Below are 25560 nucleotides of genomic sequence, written 5' to 3'. Positions count from 1 at the left end.
ATAGTCCCAGGTACTTGGGAGGCTGAGGCAGGAGAATCGCTTGAACCTGGGAGGTGGAGGTTGCAGTGAGCCAAGATCTTGCCACTGCACTCCAGTTTGGTGACAGAGCAAGAGTCTGTCTCAAAAAAAAAAAAAAAAAAGAAGAAGAAGAAAAAAAAGTACTGACGGTAGTCAGGATTTTGAAGCTGGAAAGGAACTAAGGTATTATCTATTTTAATGACCTCATTTAAAAGGTGAGAAAACTGAGAAGCAGGGACAATAAGTAATTTGTATAATTTTCTATAGTTTACCTAGACCTAAAGAAATTTATATAGTTAACCTGGGAAATCTAGAACTGAAACCCAACTTTCTTAACAATGAATTCAGTATTGTTTCCACTGTGCAGAACTGAAGTGTATTTAAATCGTATCAGCAATGCTTCTTTGTTTATTCACTTTTTTAAAAAAAATTTTATTTTTTTACTAGGCTTTTTTGGTTTCAGAGCTGGAGGCAAGGTGGTTTAGTGACTTAGCCCTTCTTAGCACCTGTGCTAAGATTGGCTGTGTAGTTACTCACATTGCTCATCTTTTAAAAGTGGACAGCGCTACGGAAAAACGCCTGTGATTTCATGAACTACAGAAGCATCTGACTCTAACTAAATTTACACTTCTTGGTAACAATAAAATGTAATGACTCATGGAATAAATAATTCAGTAGTAAACCAATTAGTGAATCACTAGAAAGACAGAAAAACTTTGCATCTGCAGAAGGGTAAAATAAGTCTATTTTAAGCCACTTTTCAAAACTAAGAGAAAATATGCATATTTTAAAATAATTCCAAGAGGGAAAAATCATTTTTGAATGTTTTCTTCCTTCAGGAATACAAGACTTGAAATTTCTAATTTGTTCCCTTTTAATTACAAAATGGAACAGATCAACTTTCACACTTGTAAATGTTACGATGAGCTTCTGATTATGGATGTCGAATCTGGATTCTTTTAATATTTTGAAATGATAGGAAGGTAATATCCAATGAATGTGTTAAGTTGTCTCCACTTTCCAGGAAAACTATGGAAAATAAAAATATTATATATTCTCACTGTATACCAACTTTGGCCCTTTTGAAATTTGTACTGGAAAATATATTTATTTTGTCTTTGAGAAAGATAATGTAAGTCTTTAGTTGATATTTGACTTTATTGATTTCCAAGATCACGATGAGTTCACATTGTAAGGAAAAAACATCTCAAAATATAGAAACCACATTTTATATCCTTATAGCAATGTAGATGCAAGAGCAAATGAAGAAATTCATATATTTTTTGTTAAAAAATCATCAGAAATGTTTTACATGTAGAAGATACATGTGATAAAGAAGTTTGTTAATGAACATAATAGTAGGAAAATTTTATAGATAAAATGTCTCTGAAGAACACCTTTTTGATTTTCTCATGGTATAATACAATTGATTGTACTGTGAGTAGCATTTGTCTATAAATTCAAGTTATTTAGAGTACTCTATAGAACATTCATGCTAGAAACACAATTCATATAACAACAATTTTTAAAGAACTAATTTGTAAATTATGACACAAAATTTTATTAACAAGGAAATATCCATTAATTGACTACTACAGTAAAAACTTTATAATGCTTGTATCATGAAGAAAGACCTTCCTTTTCCTTATATATTAATTGAACTACATAGGCTTGCTGTACATTTTGTTATTCATGTTATAAGAATTCTAGATTCCATTGCTTTTGAAATATGTTTCTTTTTAGGAACTAAAAGTCAACTTATAGTTTGATTTCTGTTTTATTTGTACTGTGTTTCTGATTTTGTGGGTTTCTAAATAAAAAGATCAAACCCACCACTTTCAATATACTGTTTTCTATTTAAACTTTTGAGTTGTAGTCAGAAACTGTTGTTGGACTGCATAGTTTTCAAAAGTTTTTGGTACATTTCTGACTTTAGAAATCTGGGGTAGGAATCCCTTTCCATATGCATATAGACTATTTTCTGAGCTTCTTCAAAACATGTTTCAGTGGGTTCCTGAATGTTCCTGATGATAGTCTCTCTTGTCGAACTGTCAATGTTAATCTGAAAAGTGAAATTACATGTACAGCATTAAGTTAGCATAGTTGAAAAAAAGGCACATATAGTAGAAAGGTTTAATTTATTCTCTGCTCTCCTTTTCAGTGGAATAGGGTAATTTTCTTTGTAGTTTTATAGGCATCTAAGAAGATATATAAAAAATAAACATTTTGCTCTTTTAAAAGTAAATATCCAACTCCACATCCAAGAGGAACAAAAAAGAAAAATATGAGGCTCAAGGCCAGGGAAGTTTCCAAAACCATGGCTTACTCAGGAAGATGCAGTGGTTTCTTAGTAGCAGTCTACAAATCAGGAAGTTTGTAAGACAAATGTCTTTTTAAAGAAAAGAGAAATTGGTGCTTTTTAAAAATTTATCTCCCTTAATAGTCACAAATGTTGATTTAACTGAATATGCTCTGAAATGGGAAGAAAATGAAGAGAAGTGGATAAATAGAGGGGAGAAGTGGCTATTTCAATAAACCAAGTATTTTCCAGACAAGAGTTCTAGAATATGTCCACAATGTAGGCTTGCCCTGTACGATAGAAATCTCATATACTGTCCTCTGTCTTTATTCCCTTAACAGACTTTTTATTTCTCATTGCCCAACAACACAGGATTCTCAAATGTCTCTTCATGATATTTATAGTTCCTGCTGGGAAGGCCAATGCTTTCGCCACAGACTCCTTTTTTTCTTTTTAAGTTTCCTAGAAATCAAGATAATTTAATGGGGAGAAGCTTTGGAGCCAGATAGATTTAATTTTGAATCTTAACTTTACCACTTAATGGCTGTGTGACACTGGACAAGTTCTCAGAGTCTCAGGTTTCTTATCTGTAAAATAAGGTTAGCAATACTGAATTTATAGCATTTTAGGAGATACTGGATGTAAAGTGCCTGGCACTTATGGATGCTTGACAGATATTAATGCCCTTGCAGGGATGAACTGATTTCCATTCCTGTCATTGTCAGGTAGTTACCTCTCTAGGGGACTGTGGCTGGATGTAAATCTTATAAAGCTTCTTTGCCCTAGAAATTCTGCTCCACCGTGAGGCAATTTTCTTATAGGTTTCACATGCCATCCAGAATTGAATATTCTCGTCACTGTGCTCCATTTTTAAATATGCTGCATAGACTACTGGACCATCTAAAAGTAGAGGAGAAATCAGTTTATTTTCATGGGTCAAAATCACCAAAAAAATCTAAGCAATACAGTTAAAAAAAAGCCTGATTAAAAACTCACAAATTATTTAACAAGTAAATATTTTATATCTATCTCTATATATCAATTTTCATGTCTATCACACACTTAGAGCGAACATCTGAAGCGTGCTTTGACAATGCTGATCACTGATGATGTCATCCATTTATTCTGAGTCACTCAGAGCAAAATGCCCACCAGTGTGGATGAGTCTAGGACAGATAGGACAGGAGACATCACAGAGCCCAGGAAAAGGACTTAAGCTGCTCAGGAGGACGGGGGCTCTAATCATGAAGCTGACACGAAAAATCTAAGACCTCATGCCAAACTGTAGGGTAAGAGCAGGGTTTTGAATGTAAACTTGTAGGTCAAGGTCAGGAGAAAAATATCCAAGCCATGTAAGAGTGATACTCTAATTAGTTTGTACACCCTGGAGTGTTTCTCAATGTCTAATCAGAGCAGAACACAGATAGATGAAGAATTCAACTTCATATTCATGGTTTATGGTTCAAGCCAGAAATAAGGGACCAGACAAGGAATGAAAAATCAGACGCGATGCTGGAAACTATCTCAGAATCTAGTACAGGACAGGGATTATGTGCAGCGTAACCATCACATAACACTTGATGCCGGAGATTCTTATCTTCAACTCTGATCTTAAACTGCCTTTCTGGAGTGCTTAGATAAGGATAAGCCAAGGAGGAGCTTTTCCAATTGAGACATTACTTTGTAGGTAGTAATATTTGAAAAAGAGGATTAGGTGAGCTCTCACAAATCTAACATATTAATTGGAATCTTTGGGAGGACCAAGTATTCTCAAGGTTCAAGATATTAATTTTTTTTTGACTAGACTAGACTAGAAATTCTCTTCGCATATCCAAGGAATTGGATTGCTATATGATAAAACAACAATGTAACTTTCAATTGATGTTAAAAGAAATGTTTGTGTAGGCACACTGAGTAATAACCACCTAGAGACTGTTAGGATATTTTGTTTACAAAAAGATGTACATAATTTAATACAACTTGATGAATTTGGAGATAAGTATACACCCAAGAAACCATCACCACAATCAATGCCATAAACATATCTATCACCTCCAAAAGCGTAGGATTTTGATTAACACTATCTTGGTCAATATCATTTACTATTATGAGAAATAATGGTAGCCAGATGGAATGGAAATGATGAGTAAGATCATATTTTCCTGGATCTTCATCTAAGAGATCAGATCAAGTTTTCCAGCACTAGAAAGCCAGGCTCCTTGATAGCTTGGCTTTGTTAGCAGTGATATAGGAACAAAGATAACGAAGTATTTTGTCTTCAAGCAAAAGAACTCAAATAGAAGTAGATCTCTTCTAAGGAGGCATTGGAGTTGGGGAAACCGAATGTAAATATTGCATCCTAGGAATACTCAAAATTGAAACATGGACTATTATTATCACGTGAGCAAATGCAGCCTTCAGGACACTGCATGGGATACGGTTCAACAAGGACATAACATGAGATGAGTTAAGAGGACAGTTGAGATAGAGGCATTATATAAATGTAACATAGAAAATGATATAGATTAGATATTCCTATCCAATGTGAGGGGGATATATTTTAACTTAGATTTTAAACAAGAAGTTGATTTTCACACCGACGTGACTCTAAGTTGTGTCTTGTCTCACCATAGGCACAGAAAGGTTGGAACAGAGAACACAGATGCAGGAATTGGTACTCCAGTTCCTAAAGAGACAGCTGAATGGTGGCAAACCAAAAAACAAACAAACAAATGAACAAATAAAAAAAAAAAAACAGAATGTTAAGCTGTTTCTGGCTTAACAAGTAAAGTTGGAAGCCAATATTTATATGGTTTGTACTTAGCTATGGAACAGAAAGAAAATGAGATAGCAGATAAAAATCTATGGCTCATGGAATGAGAGTCTGTCACACAGGCTACTTGGATGGGTTGAGTGGATGAGTAGGTAGGGGTAGGAAAATGATCTGGAAACTAATATTAGATTCTAAGCTAGTATTCTGAATTTGTGTTTATGTTTAGCTTAATTATGTAGTAAAATGTTTATAGGTTATCATTTTAGAACCAACTGTATCTGTATCTGGCTTCTTTAACTTTCTTCCTGATGGATTGGAAGAAGTATCCCTGTTTCTTTTTTGGGCTGGCCAAATGGTTCTACAATTCTTGTCATACCAAAGTCCTTTGCTAATGAAGCCATATATACATTGCCTTATCTATTTGTCTATCTATCTGTCTGTCTATCATCTATCTTTTTTTCTGTCTTCACGATCTGTTTCCATCTATCTATCTCTCCACACATAAATACACATATTATAGATCCAGTTGTATTATTCTATATATACTGCATGGATATATGGTATTCTATATATACTGCATAGATATACAGTATTCTATATATACTATTAAAAATATGGTATATTTCAGATACTTGATGTGGCAGATTGTCGTATTGTTCCTCAGTTATTTCCTGACCTTTGTGTAGGGGGATTATACTTCCATGTCCTGTTTATGTCAGCATTGGCCATTGAACTTGTGTTAGTCAATGAAATACATGCAAAAGTGCTATGGACACGTTCAAGCAGAGGGTTTAAGAACTATCATGTGGTTCTATTTCCTATGTCCCACAGCCACCACAAGAAGAGCATATTCTAGAAAAGAGCTGCTCCTTTAGCCCGAAGGCTGGAATGAAGACATGGAATAGAGCTGGAGCTGACCCTAGCTGTTGTGTATCATGAAAAAGAAGTGAACCTTTATTAATGTAAATCACTAGGATTTTATGTCACTTGTTACCATGTGATGACTAGCGAAAGCTGAACTGGATTTCGCTATATATTTCAGATATAATTCTAGCGTGCAGAATGAGCGGACTCATGTGATTGGCATACTTTACAGAATTCTGTCTGCATCAGGCTAACTTTTGTCTGAATATGCTGCAAGTTACTCAAGCTAGCGGCTGAAAATGCATTTGTGTAAAAGTGTTCCAGGAATCTTAGTAATTATTAAAGTCAGAACTGAATTGCTCTCTTTAGAATTTCGATTGATTCATACCACAAGTGAATTACAAGGTGGAAAAGCCTTTTCTAAATCAGGCAATGTAGGCTGTTCTGAAGTTTTAAATGATACTCATTCCTGAACATTATGCTCAGAAGACTGCGATTCTGCTTGAACAGAGTGAATAAGATGATAAACATCAGAATTGCTCATTTAAATTGGGAGGATGGAAGAAATGGCTTATGTCATACATAGTGTATACTTTTCCCTTAAAAAGTGAGAGTGGTGCCTTTGGGAATCTCTAGCCTGTTCTTTTAAAACTAGTCACTAAAATTAGTATTTCTATGACACACAAGGTGACACATGCCAGTGTTCTTGATGCAGAAGGGAAATGTGGGCTTTCTCATGGCTGAGTCAGAACAGTGGCCCATCTATTCCAGAATTATTTTTTCTGTAAGACTGCAAGGCTTACACCAGGCAGGAAATCCCAAGGGTGCACTACGTTGCAGTACCATTAGAAATGCCTCTAAACCAATTTAAAATCCATTTTATTTTCAATCTGTACCACTGGGGATAATGTACTTCATAATTCTACCATAGTATGTGTGGAGTTTTACAGTGAAGCTTCAGTTTTATTAAAATTCTCTGTTGTGGCTTCTATGCTGTTAATAATTTCTGATTTTTCTTCTACCTTTGTTATTAATATTAATATTACTAATATTATAAACACAGCTTAAAGAGTTGTGGGTCTTTTTTTCAAATTTATGGTCCTTTATTTTAATGTATTTTTTAAATTTCCTATTTAATATTTGTTATTTATGGCTGAAAATAAAATGTGTAAATATATTGTTGTCTTCAGAGGAAAATATTCCATAATGGCATACAGTCAGCCCTCTGAATCCTTGAGTTCCATATCTATGGAATCAGTCCTCTGTGGATCAATAATTTCATTTTTTAATTAAACTTTAATAAAAATTATTGAGAAATACTTAATTTTAATAGCAAAAATATATATATAATGTATATTTTTTATTATACTTTAAGTTCTAGGGTACATGTGCACAATGTGCAGGTTTGTTACATATGTATACATGCGCCATGTTGGTGTGCTGCACCCATTAACTCGTCATTTACATTAGGTATATCTCCTAATGCTATCCCTCCCCGCTCCCCCCACCCCATGACAGGCCCCAGTGTGTGATGTTCCCCTTCCTGTGTCCAACTGTTCTCGTTGTTCAATTCTGTGGGTCGTTTTTAATGCAGAAAACTTCTAGTAAATTAATAACTACTGTTAACAATTTGGTATATTTCCTTTTATTCTTTTAATCCTTTGTTCATGAATAATTGCCTACCTAACTAGAATTCATTCATCTACACAAACACAGATACACACTGGAATGATCCTATGGGCATTATAATATGAAAGCAATTTTGTATCATTCTTATTCTTTCATAGTTAATAGCACATAGGGAACACTTTCTCTTTTTCATTTTTAATGATCATATAATAGTCTGTTGATGGGGTAGGCCATAACATATTTAGCCACTCTATTATTATTGTTTTAGGTTGTTTCCCCTTTTCTTGGTTATAAGTTATCCTACATTGAATATTTTGGCTTATAAACTTTTTCACCTCTATTTTCTTAGGGAAAATAATTGATTTAAAATAGAATTTTTAGATTGAAGATGTAATATTTTTGGAGACTCTTGATACATATTGTAAAATTGCTTTCAGAAGGATTTCATTATTTTTCATTCCCAATGGCAGTGTCAGTGCTGACTTACTCCACGCTCTCCAATCTAATGGGGTGAAGTCAGTAACTTGTAGTTGTTTAAATATGTATTTTTAAAATATAATGCTTAAACAGTTTTGCATTTTTACTGACCATTTCTTTTTTTCCCGTGAATTCCAAATCTTTTGTCTGTTTTTTCTTTGCATTGCTAGTGTTTTCTTAAATTTTTCAGATCTCTTTATATACTGAAGACACTATCTCTGTTACCTTTATTGCGTTACCTTCTGTTCTCTTTTACGTATTATTTTTGTTTATGAATTTTGAGGTATATTTGTAAACCACTGAATCTGAAGAAGCCTTGATTCATCTATCTGATCCTGCTTTCAATTTCCTCTGTACTTTTATTAGAGAAAAATCTTTAAAGCAAAAATCTATTATTTATCCCCCTCAACATTTCCCATTGCCCAAGTGATAAAGGCCACCCCTCTTTGCTGTGGTTTCCTTCCATTATCCTCCCATTCACCTGAGAACCCTTGGAGAATCAGGACTGCAGCTTATTCATCTTCATGTACCCCGTGCCTCAACACTGCTTGCTATATAGCAGGCACTGAATAAACACATGTCAATTTGGGCTTTTGGATCCCTCATGTTTCTGTTTTAAAATGACTCTCTGTGGCTCTTGAAAAGTGAAGAAGCAGACCTTAGTTATTGAACATCTAGGAAGCACTAAAGACGACAGGTTTATATCTGAAATGCTATTGCTTTTTGGTTTTCTGAAAGCAATACCAAAAAAAAAATGTACTAATTGGACAGTGATGTCTATTCTAGGCGAGGTTTTTTTCCCCCTTTGCAAGGTGAAGAAGTGCATGAGAAGTTAAAAAAGACAAAAAGTGCTAAGTGGAAAGGGTAGAGGAAGGCAGTGCAGGTAATATAAGGGTTGATGAAGGGAGCCATGGCAACAGCAGTAGTTAGCAGAGATTAGAATAAGTGATAGTGTAGGAAACTGCCAATCACACTGTGCAGCAAAGGAGCTTGCACAGATGAAAAAAGCTGAGAGAATGACTCTGGGATCAGGATGTACAAAAGGGAGCAACAATAACCATCAGTAACTTCTACTGCCTGCTCTGTGCCATGATGCTGAGGAAGATGCACCAGCCCACACAGATGGTTCATGATATGGAGCGGCCTTCATTGCCTTCAGCAGTATGTCAATCCCACACTGTTTAACTGGCATTTCTAAGGTGGTCTGCATGGGATTGTGGTAATTTAGAAAGGGTGGAAAATAGTACATTCAAAGATGATTTTGATCAAAAGATTGAAGCAAACTCTGTGATTCAGAGCACTTGCTTATCCGGAATGGCTTAATATCTGCTCTGCGTGTGTGCTGGGGCAACCTGAACAAGCCAGAGAAAAATATACAACTGTGGTCTCGCATTTGAAATCATAACTTCAGATTTTAAACAGACACTCAACACTGCCCAGTCAACCAATGAGCCTTCCATAGTATCATGGTTCTCTAAATCTGCAGAAACTATTTTATACCTCCTCCGTTGTTATGTTAAAACATACTAAAACATCCTCTCCTAAGCAATCTACTGGCGACCTTGCCTCAAACTTCACTGAGAGCACAGATTAATCAGACGGATATTCACCGTCTTCTCTCCAGAAATAACCAGAGTACTTCCATCTGTATTCCTCCTTTATAACTTCTCTCCTGAGGGGCAAGTGTCCCTGTTCCTTTTTGGGATGGCCAAACAATTTTTTTTCTGGTTCCCTCCTACTTTTGCTTCTTCCTACTTTGCATTCCTACTTTGCATTCCTCTATTTTTCTTATAAGTATCTCCACTCTCTTCTGTGTCATCAGTTTCTTCCCCATGAATTGTTGCCATCATCCTACAAATATATTGCTGTATTTCCCAAATATAACTAGTAACAACTATTGACTCAAACTTTCGGTATTGACCTCATTCCCGCTTCCAGTCTCTGCTTTTTTCTCTGCAGAACTCCACAGCAAAACTTATGTCAGTGATTCCTTATGCTGTGTATTGCTTCCTCTGGTTTTACCTATCTCCACCATACCCATGAAACTGCTCTTGTTGAGGCACTGTTGACTTCCATATTGCCATGTCTAGTGGTCACTGTTCCTTCCTCACCTCAGCTGACTTCTCAGCAGTCTTTGACAATTCACAGCTTCCTTCCTGAAACACTCTCTTCTTTGGCTTCCACAAGAATGCACTATTTTCGTCATTCTTACCTCACTTTGTGCTCCTTTTCCATCCACTTTGCTGACCTCTCTGGTTACCTGGACTTGGAAGTAGCACACACCTAAGTTTCATCTCTGGGTGTGTTTTCCTCTATCTGAACTCTCCCTCTCAGTGGTCTCACAGCCCTGTGACTTTTGTTAGCATCTATATGCAAATTACCCCCAGCCTTGTCTTCCCTACTGAGTTCCAATTTTATCTGAATTATTGTAGCAGCCTTCTAGCTAGTCTCTCTACTTTAGTTCTATTTGGTTACATTATGTTTCATATAAATAACAAGAAAATCTTTGATATTTAAATATATAAAAAAAATCTTTCATATGTAAAAAATTATTTGCAAATAATGTAGCATTAAATAGCATTATCTAAAAGGTATCTAAGTTGCTAACATTCTTAATTTCTAATTAACTTTTGGATTTTGCCATACTTCTGTTCTCAAACTGATGGTTTTCTTGGATCCCCTTTTCCCACTGAGATGTTGAATTTAATTGTATTTTGATGACTATGACTTAATGGCTCCCTAAAACGTCTCTAAACCAATTTCGGTTCATCTATTGAGACCCAGGCTGATATATTTCTTTTTCATGTGTGTGTCTGAGCTACTGTCCTTAGAAATAATGTTTTAATCTATGTAAAATATGCATCTGCATATCTCAGCTACAGCATGCATTTGACTAATGTCCTTGGTTAATGTAAACACATTTTTATTCTCTGGCACATTTAATATTTGTATTTTTAGTTTTGTCTTACTGGTTGGATCATCCATAGAATGATTCGTTTTATTACTTATTATGTGATTGTTGAATTTTTATGTGAACTTCATAGTAATATGATTTCTGGAAAGGCTCTTACCCTATTTTTGCTGGCTTTTATAAAGAGCAGTATGATGTTTTCCTATTCTCATCTTTGCTAGAGCCTTTGCTTATTCTCATGACACTAGAATTCTAAATTGCTGATTCTAGCAAGGCAGATGACCACTTGAAATCCTTGCCAAATAATTAAGCCTATTCATTTTTTTAATAAGGCTTCCAGGACTGGCACAGAAACTTACATAATATAGCTTGGTGTTTTGAACTTTTCTCACTAATATTTTTCTTGTGTTTATTCATGGAACATTTATTGCATGCTCATTGGGTACAAAGCACATTTTCAGTCTCTCAGGGGTTTGAAAGGTAAATGAGAGGCAAGCTGTGCTCTTAAGGAATTTATAATCTAGGGAGAAAGCCACTATATAAAAAACCCAATACACAAACTGGCTACAATTAAAAGCAGAATAAATGTTAATACTAACAAAATAGAAGATAAAGGAGAAATTACTAAGCAGTTTTCTGGAGAAAGTGGCACTTGAATTTGACTTTCAAACATGAGCAGAGTAACTAGAGATGAAAAGGACTTTGAACAAAAGCCTGGAGGAGAAGAATCATAGATGTACAAGTAGAAAATGAAGTGACCCACATTGGTGGAGGGCATGTTATGTGACAGGTCATAGCTAGAGACAAATTTTAGAAAATGTTTTGGGTTAGGGTGTAGAGAGTACTAAATACCAAGATTTTGGACTTGTTGGTAGGCAGCAGAGAAAAAAGAATGATATTCAAAGACATGTACTTTATTACTATTAAAAGAAACTACCAATTATTGTGTGCTTAATCTATATTAGGCATTGAGCTAGATGTTTTGTATCTCACCTGCACAATAAACCTGAAAGGATAAGTGATACTATTCCCATTTTGTAGATGAAGAGTATGAAACTCCAAGAAAGAGATCAATCTAGCAAGGTGGCAAAATGTGTATTACAGAGGATTGGGACAAAAATTTACAATATAGTTAACTGAATATGCACTTTTGTCTCTTCATCACATTTCAATGTTCTAACACTGACCCAGAAGATATATTTGTTTAAAATTCACATTCATGCTGGCAAATTGGATTATAAACTATGAGGAATACCTGAAAAGTGAAAGCCAGTGGCGATTGCATCAAAGAAAGAAACTATGGCCCCAAATGCCCATTGGAAAGGCATGCTACAAAATATGAGAGCTCAGGTGGTGACCCAAGCCTGTAGAGGTAGATCCAGCCCTAGGGATGAAGCAGAAGTAAGCGCCAGAATGGTTGATTAACGTGTTTCAGCAGGAGTAGCCAAGTGTCTACACCTACTGCCATTACCCTCTGGGCTGGGCAGTGACAACTGAGTCCATACTAAAGAGGGTCTTGAGTCAGAAAGAGCAGGTAGTGCCTCAGGACTATGACAACCCCCATGAGGAACAGGGGGTACCTTGCCCAGAATAGCCACTGGTACACCCCACTAGTTAAAGCATGTAAGTAGCACAGCCAACTCTCCTTCATAGTCCATAGCTCTAAACAGATAAAACATTCACAGAGAGGCTAAAATGGGATCTTAAATAAAAAGATGGTTCTATAGGCAAAAATTAACAAGCATTGAGGGGAACCAACTCCATTTAAAAAAAACTACCAAATTCAACAAGAGAATTTTCTGTGTCTACACCCTACATTTTTTTTCTGTACCTGTCTTCTGGTTTTATCATTTTCTACAACGGACCAGCTTTTCTGACCCCAAACGCAATTGACTATTCTTTTGAATGCACGTCCTCCTTTATTTTTCCTGCACTGAGCCCATGACTTTGTCTCTGTCACATCCATTGCTGGTATCTCTTATTTGTACCATGTTAATGTCGATACTTACCTACAACTATATTCAGACCCATGTATAGTCCCACTTAAATCAGACACTGAAAAAGTTGAAACAAACTTTGGGGAGGAGTTTTAGAACAGCAAGACTCAAATTTATTCTTACTTTTGAAGGCAGCAAGAACAGCGAGTTAAGTGTTTTTGTTTAATACTAACTTTAGAAGGCTATGGTATGCGTTACTACTTAAGCATATTTTCCAAGGGATTTTGTGCATATACTTGTGAAGAATATTCACAGTGACTAATCTTGTTTTAATTAACACCAGAGAAAATAATAGTGGTTGACATAACAAACTATTTTCAGGTTTTCTTTTTTTAACTGTGTCAGTTGCCAGTTAGAAGGCTGTGAGAAGAATAGCATACATTCATCATCTGGCACCCCCACCTTTACCTCTAAGAATGGAACTCGCTAGTTATTCAAAGATGACAGATACGCAATACTCACATTTTGTAGCCATTAAATTTTCAAAAGACTGGGCCCACTGTAATACTTCCTCCAAAGTAAGGCTTTGAAAAGAAACAAAAAGCACTGATTGGGCTAAATATTCTCAAGGTTTTTGTTGAACTAAGTAAAATTATATTATCTTGAAAATGACACCAAAATATATTTACATTCCATTTGTGTGTGGCTTTGGTTGGAAAGTTATTTTCCTGTGATATTTTACATTTTATTTTTACTATTTAAATTTTTTAAATTATAAAAATTGTGCAAATAGTGTAGACTTGAAAATATAATTTAATAAATATTATTCAGAACCATAGTCCTATAATCTCCCTATTAATAAATTACCACTATTAGTATTTTGATGTAGTTTTTTAAAGTCTTTTTGTTATGTTTGTATTTGTGTGTTTTTAATCAAGAAGTAATCACACTATGTGTGTTTATACTTTATGCATTTTATGTCATCATAATTGTATTAATCATTTGTAGTGTTATAATTTATAATTACAAATGTATAATCATTGATAGTCATATTGTTTATGGTGATGGTGAAATATGCTACAAGGGGGGCATTCCATAGTTTACATAATTATTGTCAAACAGCATATTGATTTTCTCTCATTTTTCACCATAAAAACTCAAATGTAGCCCAGCTGTGTTTAAGGCTTGCCATGGCCACATGATTAGAGTAATTCCAGGGCACTAGCAGTAGAATCAAAGTTGGTTAAAAGAGGCAGATTTTTAAGGTTTTTGGTACAGACTGCCAAATTGCTTTTAAAAGGGTTATGCACTGTTTGCCGCTGCCACCAGCCAAGTGTTTACCTATTTATCTATTAGAATCTTAGAGTTAATCCACAAAACCTATTTGCATGCACTCATGTAATACAGTTAGTAACCCTAAAGCTAGTATTTTCTCAGTCTCCTACTTGCTAGAATTTTTTTGTATCAGTTTTAATTTTTATTAAGGTGTATTATGTCAAGTTACATTTTACCTAAACGGTATAAACAAAGCCATTTACCATTTAGAAAATAGTTGTGAAAGATTCCAGAACTCTGTTCATTTTGGTGAGCTTCATGAGGTGAATTGGCAAATGACTGTATTCTCAAATACAAGTAACTTTATACACCATGGAATACTATGCAGCCATAAAAAGAAACAATATCATGTCCTTTGCAGGGACATGAATGGAGCTGGAAGCCCATATCCTCAGCAAACTAATGCAGGAACAGAAAATCAAATACTGCCTGTTCTCACTTATAAGTGGGAACTGAATGATGAGAACATATGGACACATTGGGGAGAACAACACACACTGGGGCCTGTTGTAGGGTGGGGGCGTGGGAGGAGGGAGAGCATCAGGAATAATAGCTATTGGATGCTGGGCTTACTACCTAGGTGATAGGATGATCTGTGCAGCAAACCATCATGGCAGACATTTACCTATGTAACAAACCTGCACATCCTGCGCATGTACCCATGAACTTAGAATAAAGGTTGGAAATAAAACAGAAATAGGCAATGTGTTTATTGCCATTCAGTTTATGGTGCATTCTTAATTGTTCTGCTTTCAACAACTAGATAATTGAAGATGGCTATAGACACGCAAGCACTGTCCATTGGCTATACCTAAAATTAGCAGCCTAAAAATTAGTGCTGCAGGAACAGCCATCAGCATTAGCAGGTTCTTAACACAATGAAGGAGGATTAGTTAAAGAGATTAAAAAATATCCGAGAACATGGAAAAATATTGGGAGTCCTTAAAAGGTCAGATATCTTTTGTTTTCTAAAAATTCAGACGGATCCTGCCAGTTTTGGATGGACTGCTTGCATCAGTACTGAGGCTTAACAGTGTACTGTGTTAAGATTGCTTTCAAAAAACATTTCCATGAAATAGTATCTGAGTCATTGTTCTTTTCTCTTGTTAAAACTTTAGAAAAAGTAACCTAAAATAACCTTTTCAATCTGGTGAAATGGAAAGAGCTAGGCAAGGTTTATTGAATGCCTGTCCGTTCTAATCATTCCCATTATATAGGGAAGAATAAAATCTACAACACGAGTGAAGAGTCATCAATGTGTTGGGTTAGCTTAAAATTAAGTGTCGATGATTGTTGGTAAGAGAGTTCTTTTGTCTCTAAGACTCATGAGATTTATGGGGAGAGATGATTGGAGTAATTACGGTTGGGGGTAAAAATGGGAAATACAATTTGTTTTTAATTGAACCCCATTTTTGCTTATAATTTTTTTTGGAGGTTCTCACAAGTTTAATGCTGGCCCATGGCTATCCAGGTGCCTTTATTAGGATTATTTGAAATACCTTTTTTCCTGATACAAGTTCTCCCTTGTGTCCCCTCCATTCTTCTGGGCGGATGGGCAGTGGATACCAAACGGATATGAAAGCATTTTAAGATACCATGATGTTGCAGACAAAAGAATGAAGAATGTTTGGAGTCTCTGACAGTCCTAGGTTCTAATCCCAGTGCTGTACTTAATTGTCCTTGGTCTTACTTAAAATCTTCAAACCCCAATTTTATTGTCTATATAATAGGGATAATAACGTCTATCGCACAATGTTATAATGAAAATTAAATTAGGTCATGAATGCCAAGTACCTATTAAATAACTGTTATCTGGCAGCTTTCCATGAATGTGATTTTTAATTTTTCTGGTCTTCCCCTTTTCTCATGGTGAGTCTATAAGGCAGATAGAAGAAAGGCGAGCTCTGACAGTGATCCTCTATGGGAATCATTCGAAGAAAGGAGAGCTGTCCCTTAATTAGCAGATTATACCTTTGTCCTTGGATGCACCTGTGCAGTGCAGTAGCATTCACTGTCATTTAAAATGCTGAGCTTTGGGTCTTACTATCTCCTCTGACCACCATTGCAGCATCCTTCTCCTTGCCACACAGTAGCTTGTAAGCCTTTTTGGACATTTTGGTATTTTAGTGAAAGAGCATTCATGCCAGGGGCTCTGACCATACAAAAAGGTGTGGCCAGAACTGAGGGCTGGACATGGACTATGTTAGGCACTCATGGTTAATCTAACAGGGGTTCTCAACTTTTGGGAATTCTTTCAGGTGAGGAAATCCAATGCAATGGTCTGTTACTTTTCTCAGGCATTATTCTTTTCACTGTTCTCATCCAAATGGCAACATTTTGAGTTATAGAAAAGTGTGGAGGAAGAGACTTGGGAGCTTGGTTAACATTTGATTCCTCCTCCAGTCTCACCTTCTTTATCTAGGGATGAAGCTTTCTGGCACTTCGTATGTGGAGGGTTGGAACCAAGAAAATATTTTGGATTGAAGAATCTCATTTTAACACAAACAATATTCTTTGTTTTTTAAAAAGAACAGAGACTATTCATAATAGATTCTAAAGCATTTAACTTGCTGAATTCTCAAGTGTAAACCATGAATAATGAAAACAAGAATCTTAGTAACATATGACTGCTCTTCTGATGAAATGACTCACGTGTAAATGCAAATTTTACTTTCTGAACAAAATATGTTACAATAGCAGTTTAATAAATATGTACCTATTTATCATCTGATAAATATGCTTTACAATTACCATAGAAACTTAAATGCTACTTACTTTGAAGGGGGCCTCTTAGATTCATCTCTGCACATCTTACAAATCCAACAATTCCGCCTGCTCATTTTTCTAAGGAAATACAGTATATATTTGTATAATTTAATCATTTAAAATAATTGTATGTTACAGTCAGTTTCTAAGGAACATACAATATTATAAATCATAAAAAAAAAGATGGGCTCTTGAAGTTAATGGAATACAGTCACTGGGGGAGTTGGGAGGAGAGAGGAGAATAAAATGACTCATCTCTCATAAATATTTTATAAAAATATACGTGCTTAGATTTGTAAATGACTTTACTCAACTGGCCTATTTATTAAACAATGAGGTTCAAAAAATACCAAATCTCTGAAAAAGATCTTTTCATTTAGAACTTACCGATAACGAATTTACCAACTCCCAAGGCTTCCCTTTTGGGACAATTCTTATTTTTATTTTTATTTTTTTGAGACAGGGTCTCACCCTGTCACCCAGCCTGGAGTGCAGTGGCATGATCATGGCTCACTGCAGCCTTGACATCCCCAGTCTTAGGTGACCCTCCCACCTCAACCTCTGGAGTAGCTGGGACTACAGGCATGCGCCACCATGACTGGCTAATTTTTGTGTATTTTTGGTAGAGAAGGGGTTTCACCACATTGCCCAGGTTGGTCTCAAACTCCTGGGCCCAAACAACCTGCCAACCTCAGCTTTCCGAACTGCTGGGACTGTAGGCATGAGCCACTGTGCCCAGCCACAATTCTTGTGTTTAGAAAGCTCTCTCAATGTATTAAAAAAGAGCCTTATTTTAACTGGACAAGTAAAATAGTGTAAATAGCCAAATAAAAAATAAAGCACCTTCTGAGTGAATTTTAAGGGTGCTGCTTATCTGGTTTTATCTACTCTGGGCACAGTAACTTTGACTTTAAAATTCAGTTAGAGTTTATTCATCTCAGGCACCTTTACATAACAATACATATCATAGAAGGTTTTTAACTCAGGACTTTAAAAAAACAACTAACAAATTTGTTAAGAGTCATTAAATCCACATTTTAAAGCTGGAAATGGTTTGTTAAACATATATACATACATATATAATGAATTATTAAGGATAAACAGTGAATTTTTATATCAGTCTTTACGATTCATTCAAAAGTCTTTTGAATACTTGTTATGTGCCAAGTTCTGGCTGCCTGTGATCAATATACATCTTGTCTGTCCTCTTCTGTCCTCACTGACAAGCAATTAAAATACATGTGATGGGCTGGGCACAGTGGCTGATACCTGTAATCTCAGCAATTTGGGAGGCTGAAGCGGGGAGGATTGCTTGAGCCCAGGAGTTCTAGACTAGCCTGGGCAACACGGTAAGATTCTGTCTCTACAAAAAATAAAAAAAATTAGCTGGTCATGTTGACTCATGCCTGTAGTCCCAACTACTTGGGATGCTGTAGTGGGACAATCACTTGAGCCCAGGAGATGGAGGCTGTAGCAAGCTGTAATTGCACCACTGTGCTGTAGCTGGGGCAACAGAGTGAGACCCTATCTCAAAAACAAAAAACAAAAACAAAAAATCCCGAAATGTGATGGGGACTTGGATACAGGAAGTACAGGGGTTGTGAATACACCTAGGAGGAGAACCTAACTAGACTTGAGGGGTTAGTGAAGGCAGCCCAGTTAAGTAACATCTGAGCTGGAACCAGCAGGATATCCACGAGTGTGCTGAGTGAAGGAGGGGCAACTTGAGCAAAGATTAAGAGGCAATGAGTTATGTCCCATTGAGGAAATAAAAGGAATTTAGGCTCAGCACTGTGGCTCAGGCCTATAATCCCAACACTTTGCAAGACTGAGGCAGGAGGCTCTCTTGAGCCCAGGAGTTTGAGACCAACCTGGGCAGCATAGAGAGACCCTGTCTCTCCAACAAAAAGAAAAAAAAAATTAGCTGGGCATAGTGGTGTGCACTTGTAGTCCCAGATACTCAGGAGGCTGAGGTGGGAGGATCACTTGAGCCCAGGGGGTTGAGGCTGCAGTGTGCCGTGATCACACCATTGCACTCCAGTCTGGGTGACAAAGAAAGACCTTATCTCAAAAAAAAAAAAAAAAAGGAATTATGTTCCACATGAATTTAGAGTGTGGCAGACAGAATGAGACAGTGAGCTGAGAGGCTTAGAGAGTTAAGATTGAACCAATAATCATGTTTAAAAATGTTCACTGCAGCAAGAAAGTGGTGGGAGAATTTGTAATGCTAGGCAGAGGCCGAGCACGTTGAGCCACACAGGCCATGGATTTCACAGTAAGAAGCTGGGAAATCATTGCAGGATTTAAAATTCAGAATAGACATGTTAAGATTTGAAATGGGTTTGTGAGTAGAATGAATGGCAGTGTGGCCAGAGTGTCATCAGGGAGCCCAGTTAGGGTGTGACTGCAGGAGTTCAGGTGAGGGATGATTAGGAAGGTGGCAGTGGAGATGGAGGGAAGGAGAGAGATTGTAGACGTTTTGGAGGAAGAACTATTAGAACTTGTTGACCCATTGGATATGTAAGGTGAGACAGAAGAGAACAAGTTGAGGTGAGAGATTTGGCTTCAGGATAAAGGTGGGCTATTTTCATAAAACACATAAGAGGAGCCCCCTCTAACAAAAAAAATGACGAGATCGTCCAGGAAGACGGTGTGAACTGTAAAAAGCAGACAGCCCAATATGAGTTTCTGAACACAAATATTTAAGAGAAAGGCTGTGTAAAAGGAGCTTGCATCAGAATAACACAGTATCACAGAAACCAAGGAATGAGTTTATCAAAAAGGAAAGAGTGGCCAATGGAGTGTTAAAAGCTGGGAAGTGATTAAGAGAGCAAAGGATCAAAAAATGTCAGATGTGTTCACAAGATGCTCATTAATGACATTGCTGAGAGTGGTTTCAGTGGAGCAGGGAGGACAGAAACAAGGAGGAAAGCAAGAGAAAATGAGGCCCAGGACAAATGAAAGCCTGCTTGTAATTTCTGTTTGCCCTCCTTCCCTCTCCTCCTTCCTCCCTGCTTTCCTCTTTCCCTTCCTCCCTCCCTTTTCCCCTCTCTCTCTCTTTCTTTCTCTCCTTCCTTCCTCCCTCCCTCCTTTCTTTCTTTTCTTTCTTTCTTTCTTTCTTTCTTTCTTTCTTTCTTTCTTTCTTTCTTTCTTTTCTTTCTTTTCTTTCTTTCTTTCTTTCTTTCTCTCTTTCTTTCTTTCTTTCCTTTTTTCTTTTTTTTCTTTCTTTTCTTTCTTTCTCTCTCTTTCTTTCCTCTTTCTTTCTTTCCTTCCTTCCATCTTTCCTTCTTTCTCTCTTTCTCTCTCTTTTTCTCTTTCTTCCTTGAAAGCTGTTGATAGAAAGACGTAATAATGACAGAGAGACAGATTCTTGTCATTTGATGATTCTGGCCTGCATGTCTCTCTAGGAGGCATCGTTACAATAAAGTCAAGTTACAATGTGAGTGACATACTCTAAAGTTGGCAAAAGGTACATAGACAGAGTTTGAAAACACAGAAGAAAGAAGGAAAACCAATAGAATTTCAGGTTCCTGAAGAAGAAGGAGGGGCTAGAATTCAGAATGTAGGAGTTAAGACATTGGAGAAGTGAAAATACAGGAAATAGTTACTATTCTCTTGTAACTAGTGAAAATATAGGTATAGATTCAAGTTCATTTGCAGGTTTGGAGATAAGAACATATGAGAAATGTGGTCTGATCAACTTCATTTTCTATGTAAGTCTCTACTATAAGTGAGGAGGACCAAGAAGCAATAAAGTTATTTATATCTATAGGAAGGAAGAAAATGGAAGGGGAATAGATTAATTCACTTATTAGGACTCTTCCGATTGCAAATAGAGATTCACAATACTTAAGCAAAAGGGAGAGTTTATTAAAGGGATATGTTTGTGTGCATAGTTAGGTTCTAGATGACCTTAAATACCAGACTGAAGATGTTAGACTTTATTTTGTTAGTAGAAGTAATCCACTGAGGTCTTTAAACAGCAGTGTGATGAAAATAAAAACCTTTTTCTAGAAAGAAAAATCTGACTGAAAATGAACACTGAAATTAATTGAGACTAAAAAACTGTTACATTGACTGTCAATAGCTGGTCCTGTGTGTAATTGGACCTTGAACTGCATTAGTTCAAATTTCAAGCTACTTAGTTCGAGTTTCAAGATTCCTCATCTCTGTGATCACCTATAAAATGTAGTTACACAATGACTCGCAGCTTATCTTCTAAGTAGGAGGATAGGAAAAAATTTACTTCCTTCACATGTCTTCTCTGTGAATATTATTAGTCTTCCCTATCTTGTACTGAGACTTGACTTCTCCCCTACCCTCTATTTTTAGCAATAGTTTTTCTGTCCCACTGTCTTCTCACTTGATCTATTGGAGCTATGTGTACACATTTTCAGACCTTTTATTGTGGTGATTTCTGTAACTCAAATGTGTGTCTATTAATGGGTTATCATATTTTCTTTTATAAATTTAATGAAATTGGCAAAAGCAGAATGGTCTTAGTATGCAACACTCACTAAGGTCTGAAGTATAGTGAAGGTAAAGTAATTTCTGGATGCACTAGAATTTAGGGGCTTCCCACAGCTCCTGCAAGTTGACAGAGTATATTCAAATAGTTCTGGGGCCTGAAGCCAGACAGACATATGCTCGAGGTCAGGCTCTTATTAGCTGTGTGACCTTGCGCATATTAATTAAACCTCAGATTCTCATTTCCTTTTCCTTTTCTCTAAAATGGAACTGTAAAGATTAGAAAAATGAAATAGTTCCTAAGTTCTTTTGTATGTACCAGGAAACATATATTCTGTTAGACCGCATTTCTTCCTCTTTTTAAATTTCATCTCAGATCTCACAAGTTTTCCCCATTAACTTTATTCATTCTTCAACATGTCAACATATAATCTGCAAATCCTCCTTCTCTTCATTTTTGTTGTTCCCATGTTTCTATATTTCGATTGTTCACACATTATATTAATCACTGAGTCCCAGCTTTAGAATTAGTTGGGTCTACAACAGAGATTTACAGACATCTGGGTGTGTGTATCACCCAGATGGTTGGGGCTGCCAGAAGAGCTCAGGCATGGTTGAGTGTTACAGAAAAAAGGGACAAGAGGACAGCCCAGCCACAGCTTCCCTTTAAATGCAATTATTCAGGTTGTTCTCTCTATGGAGATGCCTGGTCCAAAAGGAGAGACAAGGCTGAGATCCAACCACACTCCCCTTGCCAGGTGTGAAGCCAAGTGGGGCTTCATCCATGTGGTGAAAAGGCTACTTTTTAATAATTCCAGCAAAGACTCTGTGTACACTAATAGTAGCCCTGTGCTCAGCTACATGACTGATTCAGTGAGGGTTCTTTGGTCCAAGCAACTTATTAGTTAGGTGACATTGAAAAAGAAGCAATATATATAGATATAATGTTATTTATATTTCTGATTTATCTACTCCTACTAGACTTTAAGTTTCCTAAATTGTTACATTCGAATGTTATTTGATGATTACATATAAGTAGTTGTTTATATGTTGGTTAGCATTCTAAGTCAAACATTTACAGATTTATTAAATTATGGAATACAAATAGAATATAATGTCATAAAAGCATCAATGATTAAATTGCAGAAAATATTTAGTGACAGAATTGTGTATGACATGTGTTATGCATAGAATAAATAGACCCTAAGAGTTGTTATGCATAGAATAAATAGACTATAAGAAGTTCTCTGGTATTCCTGTCCTTTAGGAAATGGAACTGGAGACTGGACGCTGTTCCAGTGACTAGAGTTCTGCTCCTGTGCCTGGAGCCTGGTGCCTTCCCGCCTGTATTCTAAGATTTCTGGGACTGAAAGTCCATCCACATGTTTGTGTTTCTCTCTATTGATTACTACTGGATTCACACGTACCATGTACCACTATTTTGTTGGAATATCACAGAACCCCCCACCCCCATCCTTATAACACTCTCTACATTGAAACAAAGAGATAAATTAAAAAATACTTAACCCAGCTTCAGGTACAAAAGGTCAGATTGACCACCTGAGTTTATTATCTCTTCCAACCCAAACACTAATAATATTATAGTAAAGGAACATGTACGGCTTAAACTGAAGGAAAAAGGAGATTAACCAAGGGGAAAAATAATGACAAAATATTCCAAAGTAATTTTGGAAGATGGAAGGCAGATGCTCAGAAGTAGAAATTAAAATTCTCATACCTCTAAAATGAGAAGAGAAAAGGCAGCGTTAGAATATCATCTGATAAAATAAGAAAATATAATTCACAGTCTGAGGACAAAGAATTTGCAAAATAACCATTGGTTTAAAAAGAAGTATCTACAATCCTACATTCAACAATATTTATCATTAAATAATACATCTCAATCGACAGTTTAATAGCACCAATATAGAGTGGCAGAATGAAATCCTCTCACATTTACAATTGAGAACTTCTAAGAAATATCCTTGGTAATTCCATAAAGGGAATGTTCTAATTTTTTACAAAAGTAAAGTTCTTTAGGATAAGGATTTGATTAAAACATCCTATTGATAAATTTATTTTGTTAGTTAAATCCAACCAAGGGCATCTTTAGTTGTACCCTTAAAATTAGAGTTCAAGTAGTCAATATGGATAAAAATAAAAAATAACTTTAAATATTTTATAGAACTACAAATCTACTTTGGCAAAAAGAGAATTCCCAGTGAAACAGTGATCTAAATTGGCATGACGTAGAACTGATTTAAATTGTGGATAAACTCACCAAGCTTCAAATAAACAATGATCATTTTTTTCTCATGTTGGTGGTATAATATGTGGAAACATTCCATTGACCTAAAAATAAAATAATAACAAAACCAAACAAAAACAAAAAGATTATTGTGTGCTTCCTGGAGAATGCATATTTGGCAAAGATTACTGTAAATGCTCTTAAGTTTTAAGTAAATACTTTTTCCACCTCGGAAATGCTGGATTATGGTTATTCCCATTTTTATTTATTAACTCTTTATCTAAAATTGTGTTAATATCATGGCTTATTATAAAAATTTCTTTACTGTTTTAATTTGTAATTTTCCATTACTTTTTATTTAAATAATCTATATTTATCTTAATATTGTGTATTAATTTGCTTTCCTTTTTTGTTTTTCAATACCCTCTTGGTAAAACTAGTGTGTACTTTTACAATCGAAACATAGAGTGTTTAGAACAAGTTTAGGTCTCCACGATGATTTTGCCTCCACTGTTTTCTCCTGATAATTATTTGAAAGAAATACATTTCACCGATAGAATCTAATTCTCAGAGTGATTATAAATGCATTGGTAATGGATTGAGTTGTATTAGTAGTATGCCAGAATTAGATTTGTTTCCTCCATTATTTAAATGAAATCTTAAAGTATTATGAAAATAAATAAATTTTCTTAAAGCAATTCTGTCTGTTTACATATATCTGCATTTAAATATGTTTCTTTATTTTATGATATAGCATGTTACATAAAATTTAGTAAAATTTGGAGCAATTTATATTTTAGTGAGCTTTTGTTGACCACAGCACACAAATTTCTTGTCCTTTAAAAAATTCAAGAAATTTGTGCATAGTTGTGCTTAAGCATAACATAAAAGAATAAAAAAATTCTACAAAATCAAGATTAACAATGTTTCAGATAAACCTTATAATAATCCACACCTGGCTTCAGTACAGTTAACAAAGGATGGAACTAATAATTTGGTAATGCATGATTTTTGAAACAAATAATTCAGCTATGTCTGATTTTATAATATGTTTTTATCTAAACATATAAAATGAAAAACATTTAAAATGAAAATATACACAAAAACATAAAATGAAATAATATACTTTAAAACTGTAGCATTTCCTCTGTTGCCCAACTTAGAAGATTTATTTATATAAGGAGTGACTCTAAGTTTTGTTTTAAATATAGAAAGCCAGGCAAAAGAATATGTGTTTGTTAGTTTGTCTTTTTTTCTTAGAAAAACCTCTGTTAACACTCCCAGAAGTTCTACCATTGAAATCAGCATCTGCTAGTGATTTATAGCAAGCCAATAGTCTTGTATTTATCAACTATTTTATAGAATCTCATACTTACAAATATATCCTGTCGAGCAGTCCACCATGCTAAATTTGATCTCCTCTTTGTTATGATCCGTTTGAAATCAGGTTCTGAAATTTTGTGAGACACCCAGCATTTTATTTTTCCCAGAGTAAAAGGATTTTACTGTCTCTATAATTACCTTCGATGGCACTCTGGCCTCAGTATGAATGTTCTGTTTTTACACACACGTATCTATGCAAAGAGAGGTTTTGTTGAATATGGAAAGTAGTGCTGTAGGACTCCAGTGCATTACTGATAAAGAGGTTTTATCTAACATTATCAGACCATCTGAAGTGATCAGATGATTGGAAGCAGCAGCTTCATGAAATCTTCAAAGTAATACTCAAATCTTTTTCTCCAAAATAATTTTTCTAGTTTTAGAAAATGTATAGTCTAAAGTAAAATTCCCTTTTAAAAAAGACAGAGAACTGAGTACAAACACATAGGACATCAC

The 25560-nt window shown here is 35.6% G+C and overlaps 1 protein-coding gene across 2 annotated transcripts; it reads right to left on the bottom strand.

The window, feature by feature from the left end:
- Positions 1–1106: 1106 nt before the first annotated feature.
- RGS13 (regulator of G protein signaling 13) lies at positions 1107–25271 on the bottom strand. Of its 2 annotated transcripts, NM_002927.5 has the most exons (7): positions 25101–25271; positions 23758–23828; positions 23215–23254; positions 17019–17087; positions 13431–13492; positions 3051–3217; positions 1107–2080 (listed from the first exon to the last, which is right to left on the bottom strand). In NM_002927.5, the coding sequence occupies exons 4-7, from the start codon at positions 17081–17083 to the stop codon at positions 1895–1897; spliced, it is 480 nt and encodes a 159-aa protein (NP_002918.1). In that variant the 5' UTR covers positions 17084–17087; positions 23215–23254; positions 23758–23828; positions 25101–25271; the 3' UTR covers positions 1107–1894. The 2 variants fall into 2 exon arrangements, with proteins under 2 accessions (NP_002918.1, NP_658912.1); NM_144766.3 differs by lacking the exon at positions 23215–23254.
- Between the last annotated feature and the right edge of the window lie 289 nt (positions 25272–25560).

This window comes from Homo sapiens, chromosome 1 (assembly GCF_000001405.40).
Source record: "Homo sapiens chromosome 1, GRCh38.p14 Primary Assembly".
Taxonomy (NCBI): Eukaryota; Metazoa; Chordata; class Mammalia; order Primates; family Hominidae; genus Homo; species Homo sapiens.
The sequence above is the reverse complement of the archived record's forward strand: the minus strand, read 5'-3'. Positions and strand labels throughout refer to the sequence as shown.